We start from the raw sequence: 26,009 nt of genomic DNA, 5'->3' as shown, positions 1-26,009 counted from the left end.
CCTAGTTAACATCTACCTTATTCACGGGAAAAATCCGCAGTCTACTTACCTGCCTATACTCTGAATAGTCAGCAACTTTCTCCTGTGTCTCCCTGATGGCATAATTATAGAAGTTCCACTCCAAATGGGAAAATAATGATTTGGCAAAAACAAGAAGCCTTCTCTCCTTATATTCAAATAGACAGGGAGACTGTGTTTGGTAGAAGTATATAGACATTTATGTTCAACAAGAACTAATTTTCATGTTCCAGAAAAGCTGTGGGTTAGTCAGTACCATCAGCAGGTCATCTAAACTTAGAGAACATTCATAACTTTTCATCTCATCGCAGCCGGCCACATCTGTTTGGGGGTATCTGTGTTAAGTCGTCTAAAATAGGTAGAAACTGTGCTGAGCTTGCTAGCAGGCACCAGAGAACACATAGGGTTTTCTGTCTAAATTAAGTGAAACTTCTGATACCATGGAGAGCGGCATGGCAAACAGTATGATGAGGTTACTGTTTTGCTTTCAATGTGAACAAGCTGAGCATGACCCAGATGCAAACAGTGTGAGATGCTGATGACGAAAATAAAGAATCATTTTAAATTCAGAGATGGTTTTCCAGGACATTCAAATGCATAAAATGAGGTATGCCCAGGTCCCATAACAACGGGCAAGGTTCTGTGTCTTAGGAAATTTGGGACACTTTACAGTTCCGAAGGAGAAAGGACCCTTCCAGGTGAGATGCCAATGATGTCTACAAGACACCGGTTACCCACAGTGTTCCAACAAAGGAAATGGTCTTCCTAACAGTAACATCCACCATCTTCAAGTGCTCACTGTAGCAAAGGGAGAAACACGGGCAACAAGACCCCGGAGCTCTGCGATGAAACAGACCCTGGGAGTCAAAGTCTGGCTCTACCGCTTAGCAGGGGTGACTCTGGGCAAGTATTTCATTTAGTTCCTACACAACTAGCTACTGAAGGTTCATTACCTGCCAGGTACCAGGCACTAGAGATACAGGGATGTATCAAGGGGGGTAAAAGTGAGTGCCAATATGAAGCTTCTGTTCCAGTGAGGAGACTCAGAGACCCAAGAAGTGACTATTTAATATGCCAGGCCAGAGGAAGGGCTAGAGGAAGTTAAAGTGTGAGAAAATGATGGTTGCAAGTGCTAGTTAAATAAGGTTCGAAGAAAGCCCTCGCTAGTGAGGAGCTGTCTGAGCAGAGACTGGGATAAGGCAGGGGAGTGAGCTCCGCACAGCCCTGCAGAGAACGTTCCCGGGAACCGCAAATGCAAAGGGCCTGGGGCGGGCACCCACATGTTCTACCAACAGTGAGGAGGCCCCATGTGGCTAAAGGATAATGGAGGAGGGAGACATTGGTAGGAAATGAGACCAGAGAGGGGACAGTAAGGGTTTGCAGGCTATGGTATTTTATTCTGAGCAAAACAAGCAGCCCCTGGAGGATTCAGAAGAAGTGCGATGATTGGACGTTTTTAGGGATCACTCCACAGGGTATATGCAGTGCAGAGGCTGGGAGGTAGAAGCCAGGGAGTAAACAGCTCAGATCTCCCTCCAAAAGATAACTTGCCGTTCCATTGCGAGGAATGCGGTTACCCAACAGCCTCCAGCTACAGCACCTTCCAGAGGCGCTGCTCTTTCCGGACAGCCCTGGTCAACAGCTGAGCACACATGGCTGCTCCTGCAGGATGAGGGAGGTTCCAGTGCCCTGCCATGGTCTTGGGCTCCAGCACAAACACAAATCCACAGGCAGCAATAAAGGTGCTAAGGGGCTACTGCCTAAAGGACCCCAGGAGCACATCACAGCCTGGACAATTTAACCATCCCACTTGAGAATTCAAACACCACGGCATGAAATCTCTATTTCAGAGCTGAGAAAACGGAGGGCTGGATTTTAGAAAATGCTGTCAATGATGAACCCAGTGATGAAAACCCCAGCCTGCTTAATTTCAAAATCCCCCGCTTGGGAACATCCAAGGCCGTGTGTTAAACACCAAAGGGAGCCTACTCCCCTGCATGCCACACATACACACACACACACACTCGCACCCATGCTAACATTTTTGGTTGTCTACTCATAATTTAAGAAAACTATAAATTTTAACCTTTCCAAATGCTTTAAAAACACATTATACGAACCTACTTCCCAGGTAATGGATTCTCCACTAAAAAGCAAGGGGTTCCAGTGATACCCAAGCCAAGGAAACACTACCCAAAAAGTACAGACTGGGCTGCGCAGAGTGGCTCACTGTGATCCCAGCACTTTGGGAGGCTGAGGCAGGCGGATCACTTGAGATCAAGAGTTCGAGACCAGCCTGGCCAACACGGTAAAACCCCATCTCCACTAAAAATACAAAATTAGCCAGGCGTGGTGGCGGGTGTCTGTAATCCCAGCTACTCAGGAGGCTGAGGCAGGAGAATCACTTGAACCCAGGGGGCAGAGGTTGGAGTGAGCTGAGATTGTGCCACTGCACTTCAGCCTGGGTGGCAGAGCAAGACTCCATCTCAAAGAAAAAAAAAATTTACATACTTGACTGCATCCCTCAAGAACAAGACCAAGAACCACGTTGTCTGAGTGGGATATTCTTTTTTTTTTTTTTTTCAATAATAGATGGGGAATTGCAGATGATCAGTAGTGTGGGCAGAGACACACGCCATCTCTGGGTTCAAATTTTGGCTCTATCACAGTGACACTATAATTCATAATAGCAAATATATATTATTTCATTTTGCAACATTTCCTGGCATACAGCTCTGAAGTCCCTTGGAATCTCCTAAGTGACAGGTGTTGTTCTGTAAGCTACTGAGATGACTGGTAGACCACGGTCTCCAGAGGGGCTGGTTGGTTGGAAGCACAGGTGACAACATGGACTTGCAACTGAAATCCGCAATAGGGGCAGTCCTGGGGCACTAAGCCCTTACCCTATGACGTCCTGTCAGAATTCAACTGTAGGGAGCCCGGCTGGTGTTGGAGAATTGCCTAGTGTGGAAGAAACCCCCATACGTGTGGCGGCAAAAATGGTGTGTTGAGAGCGGTGTGAGTATAAACGGAAAAACAACCTGAAGCTGGACACGGCAGCTCACACCTGCAACCCCAGCACTTTGGGAGGCTGAGGCGGGAGGATCGCTTGAGCCCAGTAGTTCAAGACCAACCTGGGCAACATGGTGAGACCCTGTCTCTATCTTAAAAAAAGAAAAAAGAAAAACACAATTTGTTTTTCCCTATAGGTGTCACTAACTAGCAGCTCTTGGACTCATTACTTCCTTTCTCTGAACCTCAGTTTCCTCATTTGTAAAATGGGGATAATGGTAACTCTTGTGAGAATTAAACATGAGAAAAATAGAAATTACTTTCTATTCTCATGCCAAGTGTCAAAGATATGAGAGTTTTCTTTTTTTGAGACAGGGTGTCTCACTGTCACCCTGACTGGAGTGCAATGATACAATCATGGCTTACTGCAGTCTCGACCTCCCCAGGCTCAGGTGATCCTCCACCTCGGCCTCCCAAGTAGCTGGGACTACAGGCGTGTGCCATCAAACCCAGATAATTAATTTTGCAACTTTTTTTTTTTTTTTTTTTTTTTTTTTTTGGTAGAGTTGAGGTTTTGCCATGTTTCCTAGGCTGGTCTCAAACTCCTAGGCACAATTGATCCACCCACCTCAGCCTCCCAGTGTGCTAGGATTATAGGCATGAGCCACTGTGCCTGGCCGACGTGAGAATTTTTTAAAAGCCAAATACAAGAGTGAGAGCCTGCCCTCTTTTTAAAATCAGAACACCTGTCCATTAAGTTTCATGTCTCATGTGTCTTTCCTAAGAAATCTGCTCACCTGTTTCGAAGCTGCGTCTCGCTTCCAAGAGATCAGCTAAATATATAACGCATCCACGGGGACAGCTGGGAATGGCTGTTGCATAAAATCAAAGCTGTTATCACACCCTTCCCCAGCCACAGTCCCACCTGCTCATGTGATGGAGCCCAGCAGAGGCTTCGATGGAAACTTTAGACTCATGTTTCTCCCCCCCAAGTGAAAAGCAGTTTGACAGTGAAAACTTCTTTGCTGGAATAAAACATGCGGACAGCTGTGCCAGACAGAGTGATTTCCTGCCCTGAAACAAGTGGTGCAAAAGTATTTGCTCGAAAGAACTCTGGGCCCTAACTGCACTCTACAGACCCAAAAAAGGAAGTGTCAGCTTGTCAGCAAAGGGACAGGGTATCATGGATCACCCCAAATGCTGTTTTTAAACCAGCTCATTCCAAACAGAAACAAAAACAAAAACAGAAAACAGCTCATTCCAAACAGCAGATGTATCTGGGTTCAAAAATTAAACTAGTAACAGAAATGCATGTAGTATGGTTCTATTTTGGTGAGAGTGGAAAGGTATCATCCAGGTATGTACACGGAGGTCTGAGCACAAAGGACACACTCAGGCTGTTAACTGTTGTGCCCTGGGATATGGAGGGCAATAGATCAATAGATAATAAGTGTTTTCATCCTAAACCTGTGAAGCTTTTTTTTTTTTTTGAAACAGAGTCTCGTTGGAGTGCAGTGGCATGATCTCGGCTCACTGCAACCTATGCCTCCCGGGTTCAAGAGATCCTCCTCCCTCAGCCTCCCAAGTAGGTGGAACTACAGGCACTTGCTATCACGTCCGGCTAATTTTTGTATTTTCAGTAGAGACAGGGTTTCACCTTGTTAGCCAGGCTCGTCTCAAGCTCCTGACTGCAGGCAATCCTCTGGCTTTAGCCTCCCAAAGTGCTGGGATTACAAACGTGAGCCACAGCACCCGGCCCTGTGGAGCATTTCTATTTGGTGCAATAAGCACATGTGACTTCTGCAATTCATTCTTAAAGCAGCAGAGTTATACATATCAGAGGCGGAAACTGTTGTTTGTAAGGCCTGGGTTTATGGAACAAAGCCTTCCTCGGGAAATTACTGTGCAGCCTGCCCTTAAGAAGAGAACCTTGGAATTTCAAAAGCCCATGCAGAGGATTTCACAGAACTGCCTCAATGCTAGGACTCTATGCCATACCACAGGCAGTTAGATATGGGGCAGCTAAAAAACGATGCACGTCAACAGAGTGAGGACACAACACTGCAAAAGGCACAGGGGCTGGGGCCAGACAGACCTGGGCTCAAATCATGGCTCAGCCACTTTCTGCAAGGGGCTCAGCTGGCCGGCACACAGTCTCCTGCCCAGAACAAAGAGAATAATCACACCTTTCTCGTAGGTTAACATCAGAGGAGGCATCAAGGAAGAGCTGAATCAATCAGAAGGGTGCCTGGTCCGGAAAGCATGCTCCATGGATGGCAATGGTGGTGGAGGTCATTGAAGTCATTAATAGAACATCAGATCATGACCTTGACCGTCTACCTAGATTAGAAGCTTCAAAAGGGCAAAGACTCCATCTAGCTTCTCAGAACCCATGAAACATCCACAAATTGGACTCTCATTCCTTCCTGACTGAATTACTGACCAATACCTCACTTGAGCCTGACTGTAAAAACTTAGCAAAAAATATATATATATGTATCAGTCAACAAAGACAAAATTTGTCACTCTCACTAGGGATGCCATCCAACTAACAAGGTACATTTAACATGGCTTTATAATGTTTTCTCTTTGTTTCTTTAAAAAGTTTATTTTCTCAAATTATATAAGTAACATATGTTCACTGCAGGGAAAATATATGTCCATTTTTAAATGTGTATGGCCCTGTTGTACACATGCCAGACCCCTGCATGTCAAGGAATAGGGATAGAGTATAAATCCCAACCAGGCCAACAAGTTGTATGATAATCTGTTAGATTTCTAGAGAGCTCATTCTCTCTCATCGGGTCCATACAACTATTCAAGATGTTGGGGCCAGGCACGGTGGCTCACACCTGTAATTCCAGCACTTTTGTAGGCCAAGGCGGGCGGGCCACCTGAGGTCAGGAGTTTGAGACTAGCCTGGCCAACATGGCAGAACCCCGTCTCTACTAAAAATATAAAAATTAGCTGGCTATGTTGGTGGCTATAATACCAGCTACTCAGGAGGCTGAGGCAGAAGAATCACTTGAACCCAGGAGGCAGAGGTTGCAGTGAGCCGAGATCATGCCACTGCACTCCAGCTTGGGTGACAGAGTGAGATCCTGTCTCAAAAAAAAAAAAAAAAAGGTGGACAACAGTCCAAGAAGAGAGGACATGACAATAATAACAATGTCAGTTAATATTTCACTGGAGGCTGGCTAAGTGCCCAGCACCACGGCAAGCACTTTACATGCTCTGATCCAGTTCATCTGGCTTCCCATTCTGCACATGAAGGAGCTGAGTCTACTGCATTCAAAAGATAATACACAGAAACAAAAGGTAGTTTCATAGTTGCCAAGGGCTGCAGGGAGAGGTGAGTGACTGCAAATAGGAACAGGATCTCATCAAAATGTTCTGGAGTTGGACAGTGGTGATGGTTGCACAACTCTGTGAATACACGGAAAACCAATGAATTATACACTTAGAACACGTGAACTGCATGGTTTGTGAATGCCATCTGCATTAAAACAATTCAAATGCCTAAGTCCAGAGCACAGAAAGTGCAGGTCACCCTTCATCACTGCCCTGGTCTCCTTACCACTGTCACAGGTTTATGTACTCTTACTGGTTTTGTTTTCTATCAGACAAATGGCACAGCTTGCCGTGTTGCTACCTCTTACTCCGCGACAGGCCTGCGCTCTCATCCCGCCGGTGTACACAGACCAGCCCCGTTCTTTGTCATCGCTGCATTTTAGGATCGAACCAACGATCTATTCCACCAGCCTTTTATTGATCCCAATTCAAATAACACCACCATCTACAGCCTCGTGCCTGTCTCTTTGTGCATGTGCTTAAGTATCTCTTTGGGATGAATGTCTAGAAATGAAGCTGCTGAGTCAAAGGGGATGCAGTTTAAATTTTGATAGCTGACAAATTCCCAGGGAGTGTTCTGTGACCCTGAACAGTCACCTCACTTCCTAGAGCCTGGGTCTCCTCATTTATCAAACCAAGGGGAAGACTTTGAGTCAATTTCAGTTCTAACATTCACTTTTTAAACAAGATCCAGAGGATGAACGACAAACAGCAAAGCAGAGCTGGGACACGTGCACAGACCCGAGCTCAACAACCACTCACTTCAGCTGGGGACGCGCGCACAGACCAGAGCTCAGAGCAAACACTTACTTCAGCCGGGGACGCGCGCACAGACCCGAGCTCAGCAAACACTCACTCCAGCCGGGGACGTGCACACAGACCCGAGCTCAGCAAACACTCACTCCAGCCGGGGACGTGCACACAGACCCGAGCTCAGCAAACACTCACTCCAGCCGGGGACACGTGCAGACCTGGGCTCAGGAACCACTCACTCCAGCCGGGGACGCATGCACAGACCCGAGCTCAGCAAACACTCACTCCAGCCAGGGATGCACGCACAGACCGGAGCTCAGAGCAAACACTTACTCCAGCCGGGGACACGTGCACAGACCCGAGCTCAGCAAACACTCACTCCAGCCGGGGACGCACGCACAGACCCGAGCTCAGCAAACACTCACTCCAGCCGGGGACGCACGCACAGACCCGAGCTCAGCAAACACTCACTCCAGCCGGGGACACGTGCAGACCCGAGCTCAGGAACCACTCACTCCAGCCGGGGACGCATGCACAGACCCGAGCTCAGCAAACACTCACTCCAGCCAGGGATGCACACACAGACCGAAGCTCAGAGCAAACACTTACTCCAGCCGGGGACACGTGCACAGACCCGAGCTCAGCAAACACTCACTCCAGCCGGGGGCGCGCACACAGACCCGAGCTCAGCCAACACTCACTCCAGCGGGGGACACGTGCACAGACCGGAGCTCAGAGCAAACACTTACTCCAGCCGGGGACACGTGCACAGACCCGAGCTCAGCAAACACTCACTCCAGCCAGGGACGCACGCACAGACCGGAGCTCAGAGCAAACACTTACTCCAGCCGGGGACGCGCGCACAGACCCGAGCTCAGCAAACACTCACTTCACCCGGGGGTGCGCACACAGACCCGAGCTCAGCAAACACTCACTCCAGCCAGGGACGCACGCACAGACCGGAGCTCAGCAAACACTCACTCCAGCCGGGGACACGTGCACAGACTGGAGCTCAGGAACCACTCACTCCAGCCGGGGACTCATGCACAGATCCCACCTCAGCAAACACTCACTCCAGCCAGGGACTCATGCGCAGACCCCAGCTCAGCACACACTCACTCCAGCCGGGGACACGTGCACAGACCCGAGCTCAACAAACACTCACTCCAGCCGGGGGCGCGCACACAGACCCGAGCTCAGCAAATACTCACTCCAGCCGGGGGCGCGTGCACTGACCTGAGCTCAACAAACACTCACTCCAGCTGGGGACGCATGCACAGACCCAAGCTCAGAGCAAACATTCACTCCAGCCGGGCACACGCACACAGATCTGAGCTCAGCAAACACTCCCTCCAGCCGGGGGCGCATGCACAGACTGGAGCTCAGCGAACACTCACTCCAGCTGGGGGCGTGTGAACTGACCTGAGCTCAACACTCACTCACTCCAGCCGGGGACGCGTGCACAGACCCAAGCTCATAGCAAACATCCACTCCAGCCGGGGACCTGGCTAAGAAAGCCCTGGAGAGCAAGCAGACGGAGAAGGTGGAACGCACTCCAAGAGACCAGGAGGACATGGATGCCCCCACCCCACATGAGAGAAAAGAGAAGCTCAGAAGGCAAAGACAAATCATCTGCAAGGGGCTGGGCTTTGTGGAGAGACTTCTAGACAACAACAGATAACATGGGCCAGCGCCTCAAGCCGCATGGGAAGGAAGCCCAAAGCCAAGAATACAAAGTCCTCAAGGAGCACCAGGCGCACAACAGATGAAGGATGAGAAGGAAGACGGTAACAGGGAGGTTAAAAGAACAACAAAAATCTCACACAATTCATGTTGGAAATCCAGAATGTATCCCTGCTCCAGGAACCTACAAGGAAAACAATGTCAAGGCTGGAACAAGGACGCCTGTAGCACCAGCAGAAGAGGACTCATCATCCCTGAAACCCAAGGTCAAGGCAAAGTCTCATGTTTCAAGGGGATAAAAAAGATAGGTTTAAAAAAGAAATCACGTTGAAAGCTCACTTCCCTTATGAATTCTGAAGAATGCCATAGGGTCAGGTCACAATGGAGAGAAAAAAGGGGTCACAGAGAAGTGCCTGTGAAGCCTCAATGTGGCAGCTGTCTCCTGCAGGAACAGAAGAGAAGACTGGAGGAACGTGGCCGCGCATCAGCAGGAGCAAAGACCTGAGCGGCTGCATTCATGGGGCAGAGGCAGAGGCAGCGGGGGATTAGGGGGTGGCAGGGCACTTTGGATGTGGCGGTGATCTGAGCAGAGAGGTCCATTATATCAGCAGGGCTCAAAGGGGGACCCTGAACCACGCTCATCAAAGTCACATGGGGAGGGCTGGGAGGGAAGGGGAAACTTGTTACAATGCAGATTCGTGGGTCTCGGTTCCCAGAAACGAATTCCGTGGATCGGAGACGAGGGCCAGGAATCTGCATTTTAATAACTATCCAGGGTGATTTTGATGTACCTTACAGTTTGAAGACTAGCATTAGGTGATGAGAAAATGTCCCAAAGGTAAGAAAAACTAGAAAATAGGAAGACAATCATATTCAAGGGCTCTCATCCATAAAGCCACACGTGACCCTGGGCTGGCTTCAATCCGCTCCTCAGTCCTCTGCGCCACAGCTCTCATAAAAGCTGCGGGGAGCCAGGTGGGGGCTGCGGGCTGGAGGAGGCAGAGAAACATCCCAGCATCCCCCTCACCCAGCAGAACTAGGGCTTGCTCAGGCTGGAGGCAGGGGCAGAGAGGAGGAGGACACCTTCTTAGCCAGTGGCTACACCAAGCCAGCACAGCCAATGCTGCCTCCTCTCAAAGACGGGGTAGAACGAGCAGCCAGGTGGCCCAGCTGTAATCACGCTGTATTTTAAACGATTCCCATGTACACCTGGAAGCGGAGTGCATTTTTTTTCCCCACGTTGAGAAGGAGACCTTGACAAATCGGAACGATATAATAAATGACAAACCAGAGGCTATTTCAAAAGCCCACGGAGATGATGTACAGCCTAGACAACTTCCCGGAAAATCTTAATTATGTCTAGGAAGCCAAAGCAAGGAAGCTCTGGGGAAGCAGAGGGCAGGAGAGAGAGGAGGGGGAATCTGGGGAGGGAGGCGTGGCACTCCTGCCAGAGGGCTGAATCCAGCTCTCTGTCTGCTGATGGAACAACTCTTGTCTACGGAGGATCTCTTTGTACCAGGCTATCATAGTGAGAGAGAATGACACAAGACACAAGTCCTCCTCCGACAGAGACTCAGGGAAATTTCCCAAGGGAGGCTGGAAGTCCTCCTTGGTGTCTCATTATATATTAGATAAAAAATAACAACGCTCTCCACACTGGGCACCTTTAACAGAGGAGACGTCTGATTCAGGAACTACCTCACAAACCCTTACAAGTTCCACGTTTCCTCTGAGCTACTAAGATGGAAAGGCAGCGAAGTACCATTCACTCTCCAAGAAGGCTCTGGAATTCTGATGCCACCACTGCATTTGCTGCCCCAGTATATACATTGTGAGCGACTGCCATGGGTCAGGGCCCTGGGACCTGTGGGGAGTGGAACATGAGAGACAGTTCTGCTGAGCACTTACATCTGGCTTGCAGCAAATGAGCAGATAAGTAAGGAGAATTTCCGGGAGTAACAATTTCTATGCAAAACATACACTGGAGAGGGTGCCTCAGGAGAGCTCCTGCAGACATGGAGGCTGGGCCTCTGTGGGGAGACCTCAACCACACAGAGAACTGACTGACTCGAAGCTCCATCATGGGGCTATCACGGGGGGAATGTTCTGGCAAAGGGAATGGCAAGTGCGATGACATGGGAACGCGGGACTTCTTCCGGGAACAGAAAGGCCACTGTGACTGAAAGAAGGTACACACAGAGACGAGGTGACAGGTCAGAGCAGGACGGCAGGTGGCGGCAGATGACACGGGGCTGGAGGCTGCAGGGGAAACTTCATATCTTATTCTCAGGATGAGGCAAAGCTGTTGGAGGCCTTTCATCAGGGGAGCTGGGAGCTGTGACCTGTTTGCTGATTGCTAAACCACTCTGGCTGCTGTGTGAAGAGCAGACTGCACAGGAGCCAGGATGGAAAGCAGGTGACCAGCTCAGAGCTACAATAGCATCCCAGGCAAAGAGACTCTGGGGGCCTGACCCAGGCGATAGCAGTGAGGACAGTCACAAATGGCCATTCATCTCCAGGGTATATTTTGGAACTGGCAGGACTGGCTATAGATTGTAAATCAGAGACAAAGTCTGCGGAAAAACACAGGATGACTCCCAGATTTCTGGTTTGAGCAACCAAGAGGTGGCATTTATGAGTGGGTGCTGGGTGCGGTGGCTCACATCTGTAATCCTAGCACTTTGGGAGGCTGAGGTGGGAGGACTACTTGAGATCAGGAGTTCGAGACCAGCCTAGGCAATGCAGAGAAACCCTGATGCTACAAAAAAAAAAAAAAAAAATTTTAAATAAGCCGGGCATGGTGGTGCGTGCCTGTAGTTCCAACTTCCCAACTACTCAGGAGGCTGAGGCAGGAGGATCGCTTGATCCCAAGAGTTAAAGGCTTCAGTGAGCTATAGATGTGCCATTGCACTCCAGGCTGGATGGCAGAGCAAGACCCTGTCTCTCTTAAAGAGAGAGAGAGAGAGAGATGCTAGTGGTAGGCAGAATGGCCCCCAAAGATGCCCATGCCCCAAAGATGCTGTGAATATGTTGCTGCACATAGCAAGAGACTTTGCAGATATAATTAGAGTTACAGACCTTGAGATAGGAGAGTATACTGGATTACCTGTGTGAGCCCAATCTAATGACGTGAGCCCTTAAAAGCAGAGAATGCCCTCCAGTCGAAAGCAGAAGAGAGGGATGGCAGAAGACAACCACAGAGGAGAAGCAGGAGAACAGGAAGTCGGATTCCAAGAATGAAAAGGACTCAACATGCCATTGCTTGTTCTGGGTTCTGGGGGCCTCCAGAGCTCAGGGCAGCCCCCAGCTGAGAGCCAACCAGAAGCGGGAACCTTAGTCATTCAGCTACTCGGAACTGGATTCTGTCAACAACGGAATGAGCAAGGAAAGGAATTCTCCCCTAGAGTCTATGGAAACAAATACAACCCTGCCACCACCTCATTCAGCCCATTGAAATCCACGGCTTCTGACCTCCAAATCTGTAAGATAATTTGTTATCAGCCATTTGTTGCCACACCAAAAGAAAACTAATACAGTGGGGAAGACGGTGGAGAAATTGAAGTTTTGGTGGGAAAAGCAGATGTTCTGCTTTAGCTATCATAAGTCCAAGTGGAGGAGGCCAGTAGACCAATGGTTGTGAGCATGTGGAACTAAGCAGAGCCATCAGTGGCCATTCCTGCCTCTTTCACCGTGATTCCCAGTAAAATGGAAATCCCACGTACCCAGGAACTCTGTCTTGTTCCCCATTTTAAGTCAGATAGTAGCCTGGTACCTGGCACATAGCAGGCACTTCATAAACAACTGCTGAATGCTGATTGTCTCTCTTCAAAAAAAATTCTCAGGAGGCCGGGCGCAGTGGCTCACACCTGTAATCCCAACACTTTGGGGGCCGAAGCAGGCGGATCACTTGAGGTCAGGAGTTCAAGACCAGCCTGGCCTACATGGTGAAACCTCGTCTCTGCTACAAATACAAAAACTAGCCGGGCATGATGGTACACGCCTGTAATTCCAGCTATTCAGGAAGCTGAGGCAGGAGAATCGCCTGAACCAGGGAGGCAGAGGTTGCAGTGAGCCAAGATCTGCATGACAGAATGAGACTCCACCTCCAAAAAACAAAAATTCTCAGGAAACCATCAACAGAGTGAAGAGACAACTTACCAAATGGAAGAAACTGTTTGCAAAATAGGTCTGATAAGGGGTTAATATCCAAAATATACAAGGAACTCAAACAACTCAATAGCAGGAAAATATAACCTGATTAAAAAATGGACACAGGATGCAAATAGACATTTCTCAAGGAAGACATCCAAACGGCCAACAGGTGTATGACCAGCTGCTCAACATTACCAATCATCGGAGAAATGCAAATCAAAACCACAATGAGATAGCACCTCACACCTGTTAAGATGGCTGTTATAAAATAGAAGAAAGATAAATGTTGGTGAGGACTGGGAAAAGGGAACCCTTGTACACTGTGGGTAGGAACGTAAATTAGTACAGCCGTTATGGAAAACAGCATGGAGGGTCCTCAAAAAACTAAAAATAGAGCTGCCATATGATCCAGCAATCCCACTACTGCATATTTATCCAAAGGAAATGAAACCAGTATGTCGAAGAGTTATTTATCTGCACTCTCATGTTTATTGCAGCACTATTCACAATAGCCAAGATACAGAATCAACCTGTGTCCATCAACAGATGAATAAACAAAACGTGACGTATATACACAATGGAAAGCTACTCAGCCTTAAAAAAGAAGAAAATCCTGTCATTTGTGATGACACGGATAAACGTGGAGGATATTATGCTAAGTGAACTCAACCAGGCACACAAAGACAAAATACCACATGATCTCACTCATATGGAATCTTATGAGCATAGAAGCAGAGAGCAGAATGGTGATTACCAGAGGTTGGGGTCGGGGCAGGGGAGAGATGGGGGGATGCTGGTCAAAAAGTACAAAGCTTCAGTTGGACAGGATGAATGAGTTCTGGCGGGTTAGGGGACAGCATGGTGGCTGTAGTTAAGAATACTGGACTGTTAGCAGAACAAAGTGGCTCACACTAGCCTGGTTAATATGGCGAAACCCTGTCTCTACTAAAAAAAAATTAGCCAGGCATGGTGGTGGGTGCCTGTAATCCCAGCTACTCGGGAGGCTGAGGCAGGAGAATCACTTGAACCCGGGAAGCAGAGGTGGCAGTGAGCCGAGATCACGCCATTGCGCTCCAGCCTGGGCGTCGCACCAAGACTCAGTCTCAAAAAAATAAAAAAATACAGGATTGTTTCCTTGAAAATTGTGAAGAGATTATATCCTAAATGGTCTCAACACCAAAAAAAAGTATGTGAAGTGATGAATATGTTTATTAACTTGATTTAATCATTTCACAACGTACAGATCAAAACAGCACATTGTACACCATAAAGATACACAGTTGTTGTCAATGATACTTCAATACAGCTGATGGGAAGAAACAATTCCTGCTGCACGTCCCTGCCATTACTGCTGCATTTCCTTACTCCTGTCTGCAGCCAACCTCCTGGAAAGAGCTGTCTCCACTCGCCCTCTCCAGCCCCTCTCCTACTCTCTCATCAATGCTCTGCAACTCAGGCTCTCACCCCTGCAGTCCACTGGCTAGGTCTTGACAATGCCACCAATGGCTGCCACCAGATGACTCAGGGGACCAACTGCGCTTGCCTCATTTGCCCCATCGGCAGCCACAACACAGCTGGGCTCTCCCCTCCTGCAAGCACACTCTCACGTGGCTTCTAGGACTCTAGGAGAGTCTTGTCTCCTCCCTGGTCAGTCCTTCACCTTTTTTTTTTTTGGAGATGGAGTCTCTGGTGCTCTGTCACCCAGGCTGGAATACAGTGGCGCAATCTCAGCTCACTGCAACCTCTGCCTCCCGGGTTCAAGCGATTCTCCTGCCTTAGCCTCCCGAGTAGCTGGGATTACAGGTGCGCACCACCACGCCTGACTCATTTTTCGTATTTTCAGTAGAGACGGGGATGGCCAGGCTGGTCTCAAACTCCTGACCCCAAGTGATCTGCCCGCCTTGGCCTCCCAAAGTGCTGCATTACAGGCGTGAGCCACTGCGCCTGGCCTCCTTCTCCATCTCTTTTGCTGGTATCTCCTTTTTTCCACATCTTAATGTGGGAGGGCCACAGAGCTCAGTCCTGGCCCACCTACACTCACTCTCTCAGAAACGTTATCCAGTTTTGGGGCTTTCAATACCCTCAATGTGTTCCATTCGGTATTGTGGGCCCCGGCATACTAACTGAACTCTTGATACCCACGTTCCTTCTGTCTCTCCGTAGATGTTCAGATAGCTCACACTCAACATGCCTGTACCCAAGCTCCTGCTCGGCCCCCACAAAGCCATCCCCATCCTGGTTAGCAGCCTCCCTCCACATCCTTCTGGCTGCTCAGGACAATGCCCTGGAGGCATCTGGTACTGCTCTCACTCACACCTCACAGCCCGTGTTCCTGGAAATCCTTCCAGCTCCAGCATCCACATAAGGCCAGGGGCAGGCCACTTCTTACCATTCTCACTTCCCCAACTGGTCCCAGCCACCACCGCCTTGTGCCTGAGCTCCTATAACCACCTGCCAGCTCTTCTCTGCCTCCACCCCTGCTCCCACACTCCAGTCTCCACACAGCAAACTTCCAAAACCCTAACTCAGAGGCCACCCCTCCTTTGCTCACAGTCCTCCAGTGGCCCCCTTCTCATTCCCACCTGCGGCCAGCCTCCCTGCCTACCAACCTCACCAGGCCCCAGGGGATGTGACTGTCTGAAGCCTCTGTGGCTTCTCCGCCTCCTCTCTGCCTTGCTGCCTCCTTGGTGTTCCTTGGACGCAACAGGCACACCGCCACCATCCCCCTGCCTGTGTTCACATGGCCAGTGCCCCCTTGGCAACTCTGTGCTCAGGCAACGCCTTCTCAACAAAGTTCATCCCGACTCACTTAAAGTCATGATCTCCCCACACTCCTGAGCCCCCTTAACCTTCTCTATTTTGACTTTTGTTCCATATCAATTATCAGCTTCTGACACGCTATACATCCTTAGTTTATCCTATTTGTTGATTATCTTCTGTCTCCCCCTAACTAGAATGCAACTCCACATAGCAGGAATTTTTATCTGTTTTATTCACTTTCAGCCCAAGGGCCTAGTACAGGACCTGGCCCATGACAGGCACTCAATAAACACAGTATTGAAAGGTGCTATGAATGAATGAAAGATCTACATCAAGGCGAATGCATGGTCACCAACAGGTAATGGCCCGAATGACTGTCTCGCCACCTCTGCTGTTCTCATCTCAAGCACTTGCCTGGCACATGCTGCTGAGGGGCAGGAGGGTTAGGGAACAGCTCGTGAATGAACCCTTGAACATGCCTCTAGAACCGCTAGACCCACAAAAATGACCCAAAGACCTAAATACCAATAGCTTCTCTATCTGGGTCTGGAAATTTCTCAAACCCAACGCAAGAACCCTCCCCCACTCCTATCCCAGCTGCCAGTCCAGGTCACAAAAAAAGATGGCTTGCGATGAAGGAGTGGAATTTGTTAAGCTGGTGCTAAAGTGGGTCTGATGAGCAATTAGACAGCTGGAAGAGCCAGCTGCTCCCTCACTGTGGGCACCGTGCTGCTTGGAGACACAGCTGGCGGCCCACCAAAGGCTCCCCATGGCTGGGTGCCCAGAGCCCCTCCAATGGCGGCTGCCTCTTAGGGGTGTGAGCCAGGGAAGCGGAACAGGCACCAGGCACCTCGGCACCGCAACGGGGCTGCCAGGACCAGAAGGAGGCAATGCTGTGGTGACAGGAGGTCACCTGGTGCAGACAGGAGCGAGAAAGGGCACTGATGGAACCGGGAAATGCACACACGTTCAGGGAGGCAAAGCCTAAATAATGTGATTATTATTGGGTGATGATGATGATTTCAGCAAGCACTTCCTACGAACTTAGAATGGCACACTGCCTTACTGAGTTCCATCAGTCCAAGGAAGCATGTGTGTTCCCCCATCTTAGAGACAGGAAAACTGAATTCCTGAAAGGTCAAGAAGCCAGTTGCTAAAGAAGTGGGGCAGGGGCTCAGAGGACCCAGAGGAGATGAGAGGTAGCCGCCAGGTGGGAGGCCAGACCAGACTTCTCTGGCAACTCCAGCTTTCCAGCTTCCAGCCAGGGGATTCAAAAGCTTTTAGACAGGAGGATAGAGGAAGAGGAAGAGTTTCATTTAAATCTGTCACTTTGAAGTTTGTGGATGTAGCTTGTGGACTGTTTCCTTTGTCACTCAATTCTGTATGCAGAAACCCTTGTGGATTTGGGGAAAGCTGGTAAGAGCAGAAGAGATGATTTCTGGGAGTAAACTGGGCTTGGGAGAATACTGTGATTTTCTTGCAAGGAAATTAGTTATGGGACCCAGGCGTGGTGGCTCATATCCGTAATCCCACTATTCAGGAGGCCAAGGTGAGAGGACTGCTTGAGGCCAGGAGTTCGACACCAGCCTGAGCAACATAGCAGGACCTCATCTCTAACAAAGTTTTTAAAAAATTACTTGACATGGTGGCACACACCTATAGTTCTAGCTACTGGGGAGGCTGAGTCAAGAGGACTGCCTGAGTCCAGAAGCTCGAGGCTGCAGTGAGCCGTGATCGTGCCACCACACTCCAGCCTGGGTGACAGAGCAAGACACTGTCTCTAAAGAAAAAAAAAATTAAAACAAATAAAATTAGTTATGAATTTGTGTTTGGTTTTTGTTTTTGCTTTTGTTTTGGAGACAGAGTCTTACTCTGTTGCCCAGGCTGGAGTGCAATGGCACGATCTCAGCTCACTGCAACCTCCGCCTCCCAGGTTCAAGCAATTCTCCTGCCTCAGCCTCCCGAGTAGCTGGGACTACAGGCGCGTGCCACCATGCCCGGCTAATTTTTGTATTTGTAGTAGAGACGGGGTTTTACCATGTTGGCCAGGATTGTCTCGAACTCCTGACCTCAGGTGATCCACCCACCTTGGCCCCCCAAAGTGTTGGGATTACAGGCATGAGCCACTGTACCCAGCCTATGAATTCTTATATTGCTGGCTTGTGCATCATAAAGGTAAGGTCATTAAAAATCCTCAATAATGGTCCACTGAGGGTCAATAATATTAATGAACATAATGGCGATGACATTTCTTCAGCAGTTTTTTCTGCTGTTCTAAGTCCTTGCCACACATTAGCTCATTTAAAGCTGAGAAAAGCTCTTCTGAGGCAGGAGCTATTATCACGTCCACTTTACAGATGAACCAAGTGAGGCACAGACTTTACAAGCACTTTGCTCAAGGACAGGAAGCCAGCAAATGGCACAGTCAAGACCCCAACCCAGGAAGTTTGCCTTGCGCCTATGCTCCCAACAAAGCAGGATCTTGGTGATGTCCTGCGCAGCCTGGCCACATGGCCCGCAGCCCAGAGGGCAGGGCCCTGAAGGTGAAGAAGGGGGCCATCGTGGAGCTCTGAGGAGCAGCCAGCAGCTGTCTATTTCGCCATCCTTCCCAGTACCTCGCGGCCTGCAGGAGTAACTGCAGTACCGGGGTCAGGGATCCAGGCACCAGCCCAGGGGGACTTCAGGCGACTGGAGCTCTCTGGGAAGAGACGAAGCCACCAGCCCAGTCGCTCTTCTAGAAAACCCGTTTGTCTTTCTGCACTGAGCTCAGATGCTACCTCCTTCAGGAAGCCAGCCCTGAGCCACCCAGGACAGCCCTGCTCTCTGGACCTCACACATGGGGCAGTTACAACCCAGTGCTTCAACCACCTGTGCACAGATCTGCCTGCTTTTCATCTCTGGCACAAAAATGAGTGCTTAAAGAATGGAAACAAATAATAGCCTTCTCCCAAAACACAACCCGAGGACTGCATCAAGCTCTGCATTGTGCTTCGAGCCAGTACCCAGTGGAGCAAGTGAGAGGTAAGTGGGTAAGAGGCTCATGAGCCCTGCAGAAAAAGCTCCCAACACCTTGATCCATAGCTGTGCTTCTGGTCAGCTAACACCTACCTTAAAACCCTCTTCTGCCTGACAGGCCATTGCAACATGAGGCCGAATGGCCCTCTGCCCGGCTCCCACCTGTGGCTTCTCTCCTGGGGCTCTGACTTGTATCTCTTTGCCTGACACTCATTTCTACAGACTGAAAATTGCAAAAGGACCACTATATATTTTGGCTCCCCATGAGAGCTGGGCAGGGGCTCTGCTACCTTCTGTGTGTTTCTATGCACAAGGCTTTCAACTCCCGTGCCCGCTCTTGTCTCTGGGCCTTTGCACATGCTCCTCCACCTGCCTGGAACCCTTTGGCCACCTAAGTCTGTCTAACCCTTCAAGGCTGGTTTTATGTTGGTTCCTGCAGGAAGCTCTCCCTGCCTGTCCCCACCACAGTCCTGGTGATGGGCTCCTGCTCTGGGCTCCCCTGGCACTGGAGCTCCCCAACCCGGGAGAGCCCACACTTCATTGAGATTGCTCCTTGACCTGTCGATCTGCCCTCCCCACCTGCCAACTCCAGGAAGGGATTCTCCTGTATCACAGAACCTAGCAGAGGGCTGGGACCTGCAGGTGTTTAACATTAAATAAGAACAGGAACAGTGTGAAAGAGTAAGTAAAGGAATACATGAGTTAATGGGGCCGGGACAGCTCAGCACACAGGTGGGTTTTGGTCACCCAGTAGCGTATACAGTGTTCCCTATGCACCAAGAAGTAGTCTAAGAACTTTTACATGTATTATTCACCTAATTCTCAATGATCTCCCTGTGAAATACTCTCCACCTCATTTTGCCCATGAGAAAAACAGAGACACAGAAAAGCTCAGCAATTTCCCTGGGGTCCTATCAATAGAGAGTGGTTACATGAAGATTCAGACCCGGCAGGCTGGTTCTACAATCTGTCCTTTCATCTACCTATGGTAATGCCAGTGGTTAGACCAGTGGCCTGGAATGAACCCCACCTCCTGGGATCCACACGCTTGTGCAGTCCCGTCCTGGACTGACTCTGGGCCTGGCCATGTGACTTACTCTGGTCAGTGGAGTATTCGCAAATGTGAGCCTAGCAGAGGCTTGATGAGCCTTGCACGTGGGCTTGTCTTTCAGGATGTTCCCTCTTAGAACTCTGAGACCACTGTGGTATGAATAAGCCCAAGCCAGCCATGTGGGGATGCAATGTGAAGGAAAATGGCAGGACTCGGCCAGCAGCCAGAGCCAAGGACCCAGACACCTTGGCCTTCATTGAGTTGGCCCAGGCCCTTCCAATCATTTCCGCCATGAGCTGAGGCCTCAGACATCATGGAGCAGAGATGAGCTGTCCCCATCACAGCTGCCTCAATCATCACACCCTGACTGAACCCCTAACTCACCCAATTGTTAGTAACCAAAATCGGAGTTGTTTTAAGCCACTCATTTTGGGAATGGTTTGTTAAGCAAAAGTATTTAAAGAAAACATCTCCTTACTATCAGAGACAGAATCATGTGGACCCAGCACCGCACTTCCCAGGTACTCATGCAAGCAACAAACATTACTACAGCATGCTCCACACTACTCACTGTTCTGGACACTAAGACTCGGCAGAGAATAGAACAGTCCTTACTCTTAAGGAGCTTAGATTCTACTGGGGGAGTCAGACAGACCAAAAGATGAATGCATTTTTCTATCATGTGCTGCTAAAAGCTGCACAGAAAAATAAAGCAGTGCCAGAAGTGCCATTCTAGATAAAATGACCTCCTGATAAAGTGACATTTAAGCAGAAACCTGGCTGGGTGCGGTGGCTCATGCCTGTAATCCCAGCACTTTGGGGGCAGAGGGAGGCGGATCACTTGAGATCAGGAGTTCAAGACCAGCCTGGCCAATCTGGCGAGACCCCCTCGCCACTAAAAATACAAAAACTACTACTCTACTAAAAATACAAAAACTAGCCAGGCATGGTGGTGCACGCCTGTAATCGCTCAGGAGGCTGAGGCAGGAGAATCACTTGAACCCAGGAGGCAGACGTTGCAGTGAGCTGAGATTGCACCACTGTACTCCAGCCTGGGTGATAGAGTGAGACTGTCTCAAAAAAAGAAAAAAAAAAAAAAGCAGAGATCTGGATGGGGAGAGGAAGAGAGCCATGTAAAGATGGAGAGGAAGAACTCCAGGAAACAGGGGAAGCAAGAGCAAGGGACCACCCAAGATGCAACACGATGAAGAACAACGATTGGGCATGTCTGAGGGAGGAGGAAGAGGCCAGGGCTGGATCCTGTGGGGATGAGGGCCAGGCTCAGGATATGATTGTGTTCCAGGTAGGAAGGGAAGCCTTAAAGGGTTCCCTCAGAGGGCCCAACAGTGACATGAGCCAACTTCTATTTTCAAAGGATCACCTGGCTACAGAGAAGCCTCACAGGAGAGGGGCATCACCAGAATGAAAGCAGGGAGGGCAGCGGGGAAGCTGCTGTGACAATCTCAGCATCTGATTACGGTGGGCCTGGGGAGGTGGGAGGGCTGCAGTGGAGGGGAAGAGGGGTCAGCCCTGCCCTTGTTCCATGGTAATTCTACACAGTGTGTGGTAAACAACACACCACGCATTATCTTCCTTTCTCTGGGATAAAAGTTAGATTTACTGTCACTCTTGTACAACTGCAGGGTTGGACTAAGAAGCACATGTGGTCATAACTGGTTTACTTTTGGAAGACTCTCCAACAGTACTTCCTGAGAATGCCATGTAAGGAACCCAACCTTAACATTTAAAAAAATTAAAAACTAGTCTGGAGGCCGCTGGGAAGTGGGACTTTTTAAACCTTGAGGCTGAAAATAAACTAAACCACATTGAAATCCTCCACTGGGTCATGCCACTACGAAATGCAGGCCCTGCTGAGCACTTGGTAAATGGAACATGGACCTGATGGCTCTCCAGGAAGAAACTCTGTGCCCATGTCAATCACAGGTGCCCAGTTCCTTTCTCGTGACAAGTCACTGCTCACTGCAGTCACTCACTCATTTACATCATCTGGAAGAGGAGCTGCTGTAAGTCGGAAGGTATTTATTTTTACCCATAGAATGATTTTGAGGGAAAAACAGGAGGAGATAGACTGTGCGGGCCATAAGAAAATTAAGTAAAGGAAGAAAGGCTACAGGAGGAATATATCCTGATAATAGAGTTTTGTCGAAAAATGCAAGCCATGGACTCCTGGTCTTGTCCACTTTATCTCCCATACCCTTTGAACTTATTTTAATTCCCATCATCTCCACCTGAAGAGCCAGCCTCCATCCCTTGCTAAGATGACTGCTATAACGGCCAAATGGTCACCCCATACCGGCCTCTGCCTTCCTGAATTCTCTCCCCGTCGTATAGGGAAGGTGATCAATTTAAAATGCAGGGCTGATACCACCAGCCCTCAGTTTAGGACTCTTCAAAGGTTTTCTATCTTTCTTAGGATAAAGATCAAACCTTTCCAGGGACCTACAAGGCCCTGCTCCCCTCACTCTCTGAGTTCTAGCAACACAGGCCTCTTCTCAACCTCCTGACACCCTGTTTCCCCTTGTGCCTCTGGCCTTCCCCATATCCAAGGCAAGGAGACAAACCTGCCGAGGGGAGGGGACACCTTCCTCTCCCACAGACCTGAGTTCCAACATGTCTTCCACAAAAAGCCATGCCAGATCCATCCCCAACATCCAGACCTAAGCAGACCCTATGCAGCTGTTACTATTGCCAGTGACTGCTGTGGGCCCGGGTCATTGTTCTAAGAATACCACCAATTGGCCCTTCTGTGCTGGTCACATATAAAGCCTGACCTTTGACTCAGGGAGTCAACCATGAAAGATCAGGGTTAACACTGGGTTTTTTTGTTGTTATTTCTTTTTTATGGAGATGGAGTCTCGCTCTGTCACCCAGTGGCACGATCTCGGCTCACTACAACTTCGCCTCCCAGGTCCAAGCAATTCTCCTGCCTCAGCCTCCTGAGTAGCTGGGATTACAGGAGTGTGCCACTACACCCAGCTAATTTTAGTATTTTTAAGAGAGATGGGGTTTCACCACATTGGCCAGGCTGGTCTCAAACTCCTGACCTGAAGTGATCTGCCTGCCCCAGCCTCCCAAAGTGCTGGGATTACAAGCGTGAGCCACCATGCCTGGCCAATGTTTCTTTTTTTTTCATGCAGACATTGAGGGCATTAGCACTGTTTTTAATCCAGAGACTAGTCCCAACTGTGACCCACCCAGAAAGGAGGAGAAAATTATGAGCTGTCTGCCTGCAGCGCTGCCTGTCAGCTGCACCCTCTTGCTTCCTGAGACCTTATTTCCATGTTAATATACATCAGCCTCAATTACAGACTCCAACGGAAGGATAACAAAGTTGACATAGGTTGACACCCTCTTGGTCATCACCTGTGCTTTATGTGGGAAGTAATAACAGAGATAGAAACACAGCAGCTGCTGTTTATGGAGTGCTTCCCACACACCAGGTAGGATGTTAACCTTTTGTTGACTTATCCACTCTGTTCAAAAACCTACTCATTAAGCATTGTTAATATCCCTATTTCACAGAAGATGATTCTGGGGCTTAAGCAAGTTACTCTCCCACAGTCAAATGACTGATAGGTCCAAACACGTAACCTGCAGCCCCAGTGCCTTCCTAACAACCCAGTTCCTGCAGCAGAAACTCTGTGTCTCAAGCACTTCATCTCTCCCTACCCTCACCATCAACCACAAAGCTGCCTGCCCCAGAGCTGCCAACACAAGTGTGTTTCCAGCCAAGGAAACAGATGCCACTCCTGCAGGAAAAATCCTTGTTTCAGAATTCACTGACCAAGGCCTGTGACTAGTTCTATAAACCAGGAGGAGGAGTGGTAGCAAGGGAGGCTAAATCACAACGACGGGTTTTTGTTTGGTCAAAAAGGAAAAAATAAATAAATAAACTACAATCACTCTAATTTTAAAGATGTTTAACAGACTTCTGCCCCATAAATATAACTAGAAGAAGTCAGCATCTCCTACATTACAAAAAAAAAAATCTAGGCAGTTGTCACTATAATTCAAAACCCAAGCAGATGACATGAATTCAAACATGTCATCTTTGACATGTTTGTCAAAAATGAAAGTAGCAGTCACAGTTACTGAGCGCTTTACATAACCTGTCACCGCATGTTAAATATATGGATCATGTACGTAACACCTCAACAAACTTGTGAGGGAGCTTCTCATTACCCCATTTAACAGATGAAAATACTGAGACTGGGGGATGTTAAATAACTCAGCTGAGGTCACACAGCTCATAGGGAGCAATGCCAGGATTCCGCTGTAAGAACGACCAATTTCAGAGCATATGCTCTCAACCACTACTTAAGGAATCCAACAACAAAAATCTTCCCATTGTTCAATTTAAATATACCATTTAGGAGTAATTTTTGTTAGGGGGGCGGGGAATCAATGTTTTCTATCACTGTAAGAAAACTATGCCCTTTCAGACTTATTTTTAAAGCGATGCTACCACCACTTAGGTGGCTCCTACCTGACGCTTCATCAAACAAATATTATAATTAGATCTGCTAATAAATTGCCAAAACAAATCTGAAAGGAGAAACATGACTGTTCTTTTGAGAACACAAAACTGTCATTTCAAATTAAGTAGCAGTAACAAATGGTGAGAAATGTGACTCTGCCAGCAACGCACATCTGTGTTTGAGCATTAACCAGGGATCTTCTTCTTAAGCATCCACACCACTCCCTCCAGCTTAAAGATGCTGAAGTGTTTCTCAAACAGTGGCAAACCATCCTTCATTTAGATACCAGGGCTCTGATCAGTACTGAAAAGATAATTTTGCTTCCAGGAAGCACACAAGAAACCCTCCATTCTGCATAGGTGATTTGGATGATTTTTTTTTTTTCTTTGAGATGGAGTCTCTGTCACCTAGGCTGGAGTGCAATGGCATGATCTCGGCTCACTGCAACCGCTGCCTCCCAGGTTTCAAGCAATTCTCCTGCCACAGCCTCCAGAGCAGCTGGGATTACAGGCATGCACCACCATGCCCAGCTAATTTTTGTATTTTTGGTAGAGACAGTGTTTCTCCATGTTGGCCAGGCTGGTCTCAAACTCCTGACTGCAAGTGATCTTCCCATCTCAGCTTCCCAAAGTGCTGGGATTACAGATGTGAACCATCGTGCCTGGCTTGTATGATTTTATCAAGGAAAAAACAGTCCTTTCTTCCACTCTCAGAATTCTAGACTCCACTTTGGCACCCTAAGGCAGGGGTCTCCAACCCCCAAGGCCACAGACCTGTAATGGTTGTGGCCTGTTAGGAACCAGGCCACACAGCAGGAGTTGAGTGGCGGGTGAGTGAGCATCACCGCCTGAGCTCCACCTCCTGTCAGATCAGAGGTGGCATTAGAATCTCAGAGGTGCATGAACCGTATTGTGAGCTGCGCACCCATGGGATCTAGGCTGAGCACTCCTTGTGAAAATCTAATGCCTGATGATCTGAGGTGGAACAGTTTTATCTTGAAACCACCACCCCCACCACCAGTAGAGTAATTTTATTGGTGAGAACCTAACCTCTACCAGAGCCACAAAGGACTCCATGACATTTGACAATGGTTCCAGACATGCTGAATGGACTTATGCAAAGATACAAAGTTTTAACAGTTATTACCCTACTTAATCCGCATGAGTCTCTGATGCAGGTGCACCAGGAGGTGCTTCTGTCTGAGCAGAGAAGCCACCTGGTGCTCTGAGAGGGTGAATGAGCCCACCAGGCCCCCATGAGGGTAGAACCAGGCCTGCAATCCAGCCTCTGATGTCTTCTAAATGGATGGACCTGAAGCCCAATCATACAACTATTCAACCCAATTACATGCCCCAAAATGTCTGGGCCAAAATAGGGTATCAGACTGGTCCATGAAAAAATTGTCTTCCATGAAACAGGTCCCTGTTGCCCAAAAGGTTGGAGGCTGCTGTCCTAACAGATCAAGAATAACCAGCAGGATCTAGTAAAAGTTAGCTAACAATCTCACACGGTACTGAGTCCCTGAGCCTAATGTGTTCTTATTAAACTATTAATAAATTCATCATAGAGACATCAAATACTTACCAACTGCAGGAGACATCAGGTGTGTAAGAGAGGAATGGCAGGGCAGCAGAACAAAAGTGGCACAGGTTCAGAGATCAGCGAGGGCCAGACAGGAAACCTGTCCAGGCTAGGGGGTCAGACTTTGGTCACCT

General features: G+C 48.8%; 1 protein-coding gene across 21 annotated transcripts in view, besides 1 other annotated feature; it reads right to left on the bottom strand.

Annotated features, from left to right (window-relative positions):
* The window catches only part of SNX29 (sorting nexin 29), a 597,554-nt gene that overhangs the window by 305,000 nt on the left and 266,545 nt on the right, over positions 1–26,009 (bottom strand). The gene's annotated exons all lie outside the window — the stretch shown is intronic.
* Positions 7,429–7,935: an enhancer, noted in NCBI's record as "H3K27ac-H3K4me1 hESC enhancer chr16:12355210-12355716 (GRCh37/hg19 assembly coordinates)". NCBI's record gives its function as "activates a minimal SCP1, AML or CMV promoter by ChIP-STARR-seq in naive H9 embryonic stem cells {active_cell/tissue: H9 hESC(naive)}" and the evidence as "EXISTENCE:reporter gene assay evidence [ECO:0000049][PMID:30033119]".

The sequence above is a fragment of the Homo sapiens genome, chromosome 16 (genome assembly GCF_000001405.40).
Source record: "Homo sapiens chromosome 16, GRCh38.p14 Primary Assembly".
Taxonomy (NCBI): Eukaryota; Metazoa; Chordata; class Mammalia; order Primates; family Hominidae; genus Homo; species Homo sapiens.
This window is presented reverse-complemented; position numbering and strand designations above follow the sequence as displayed.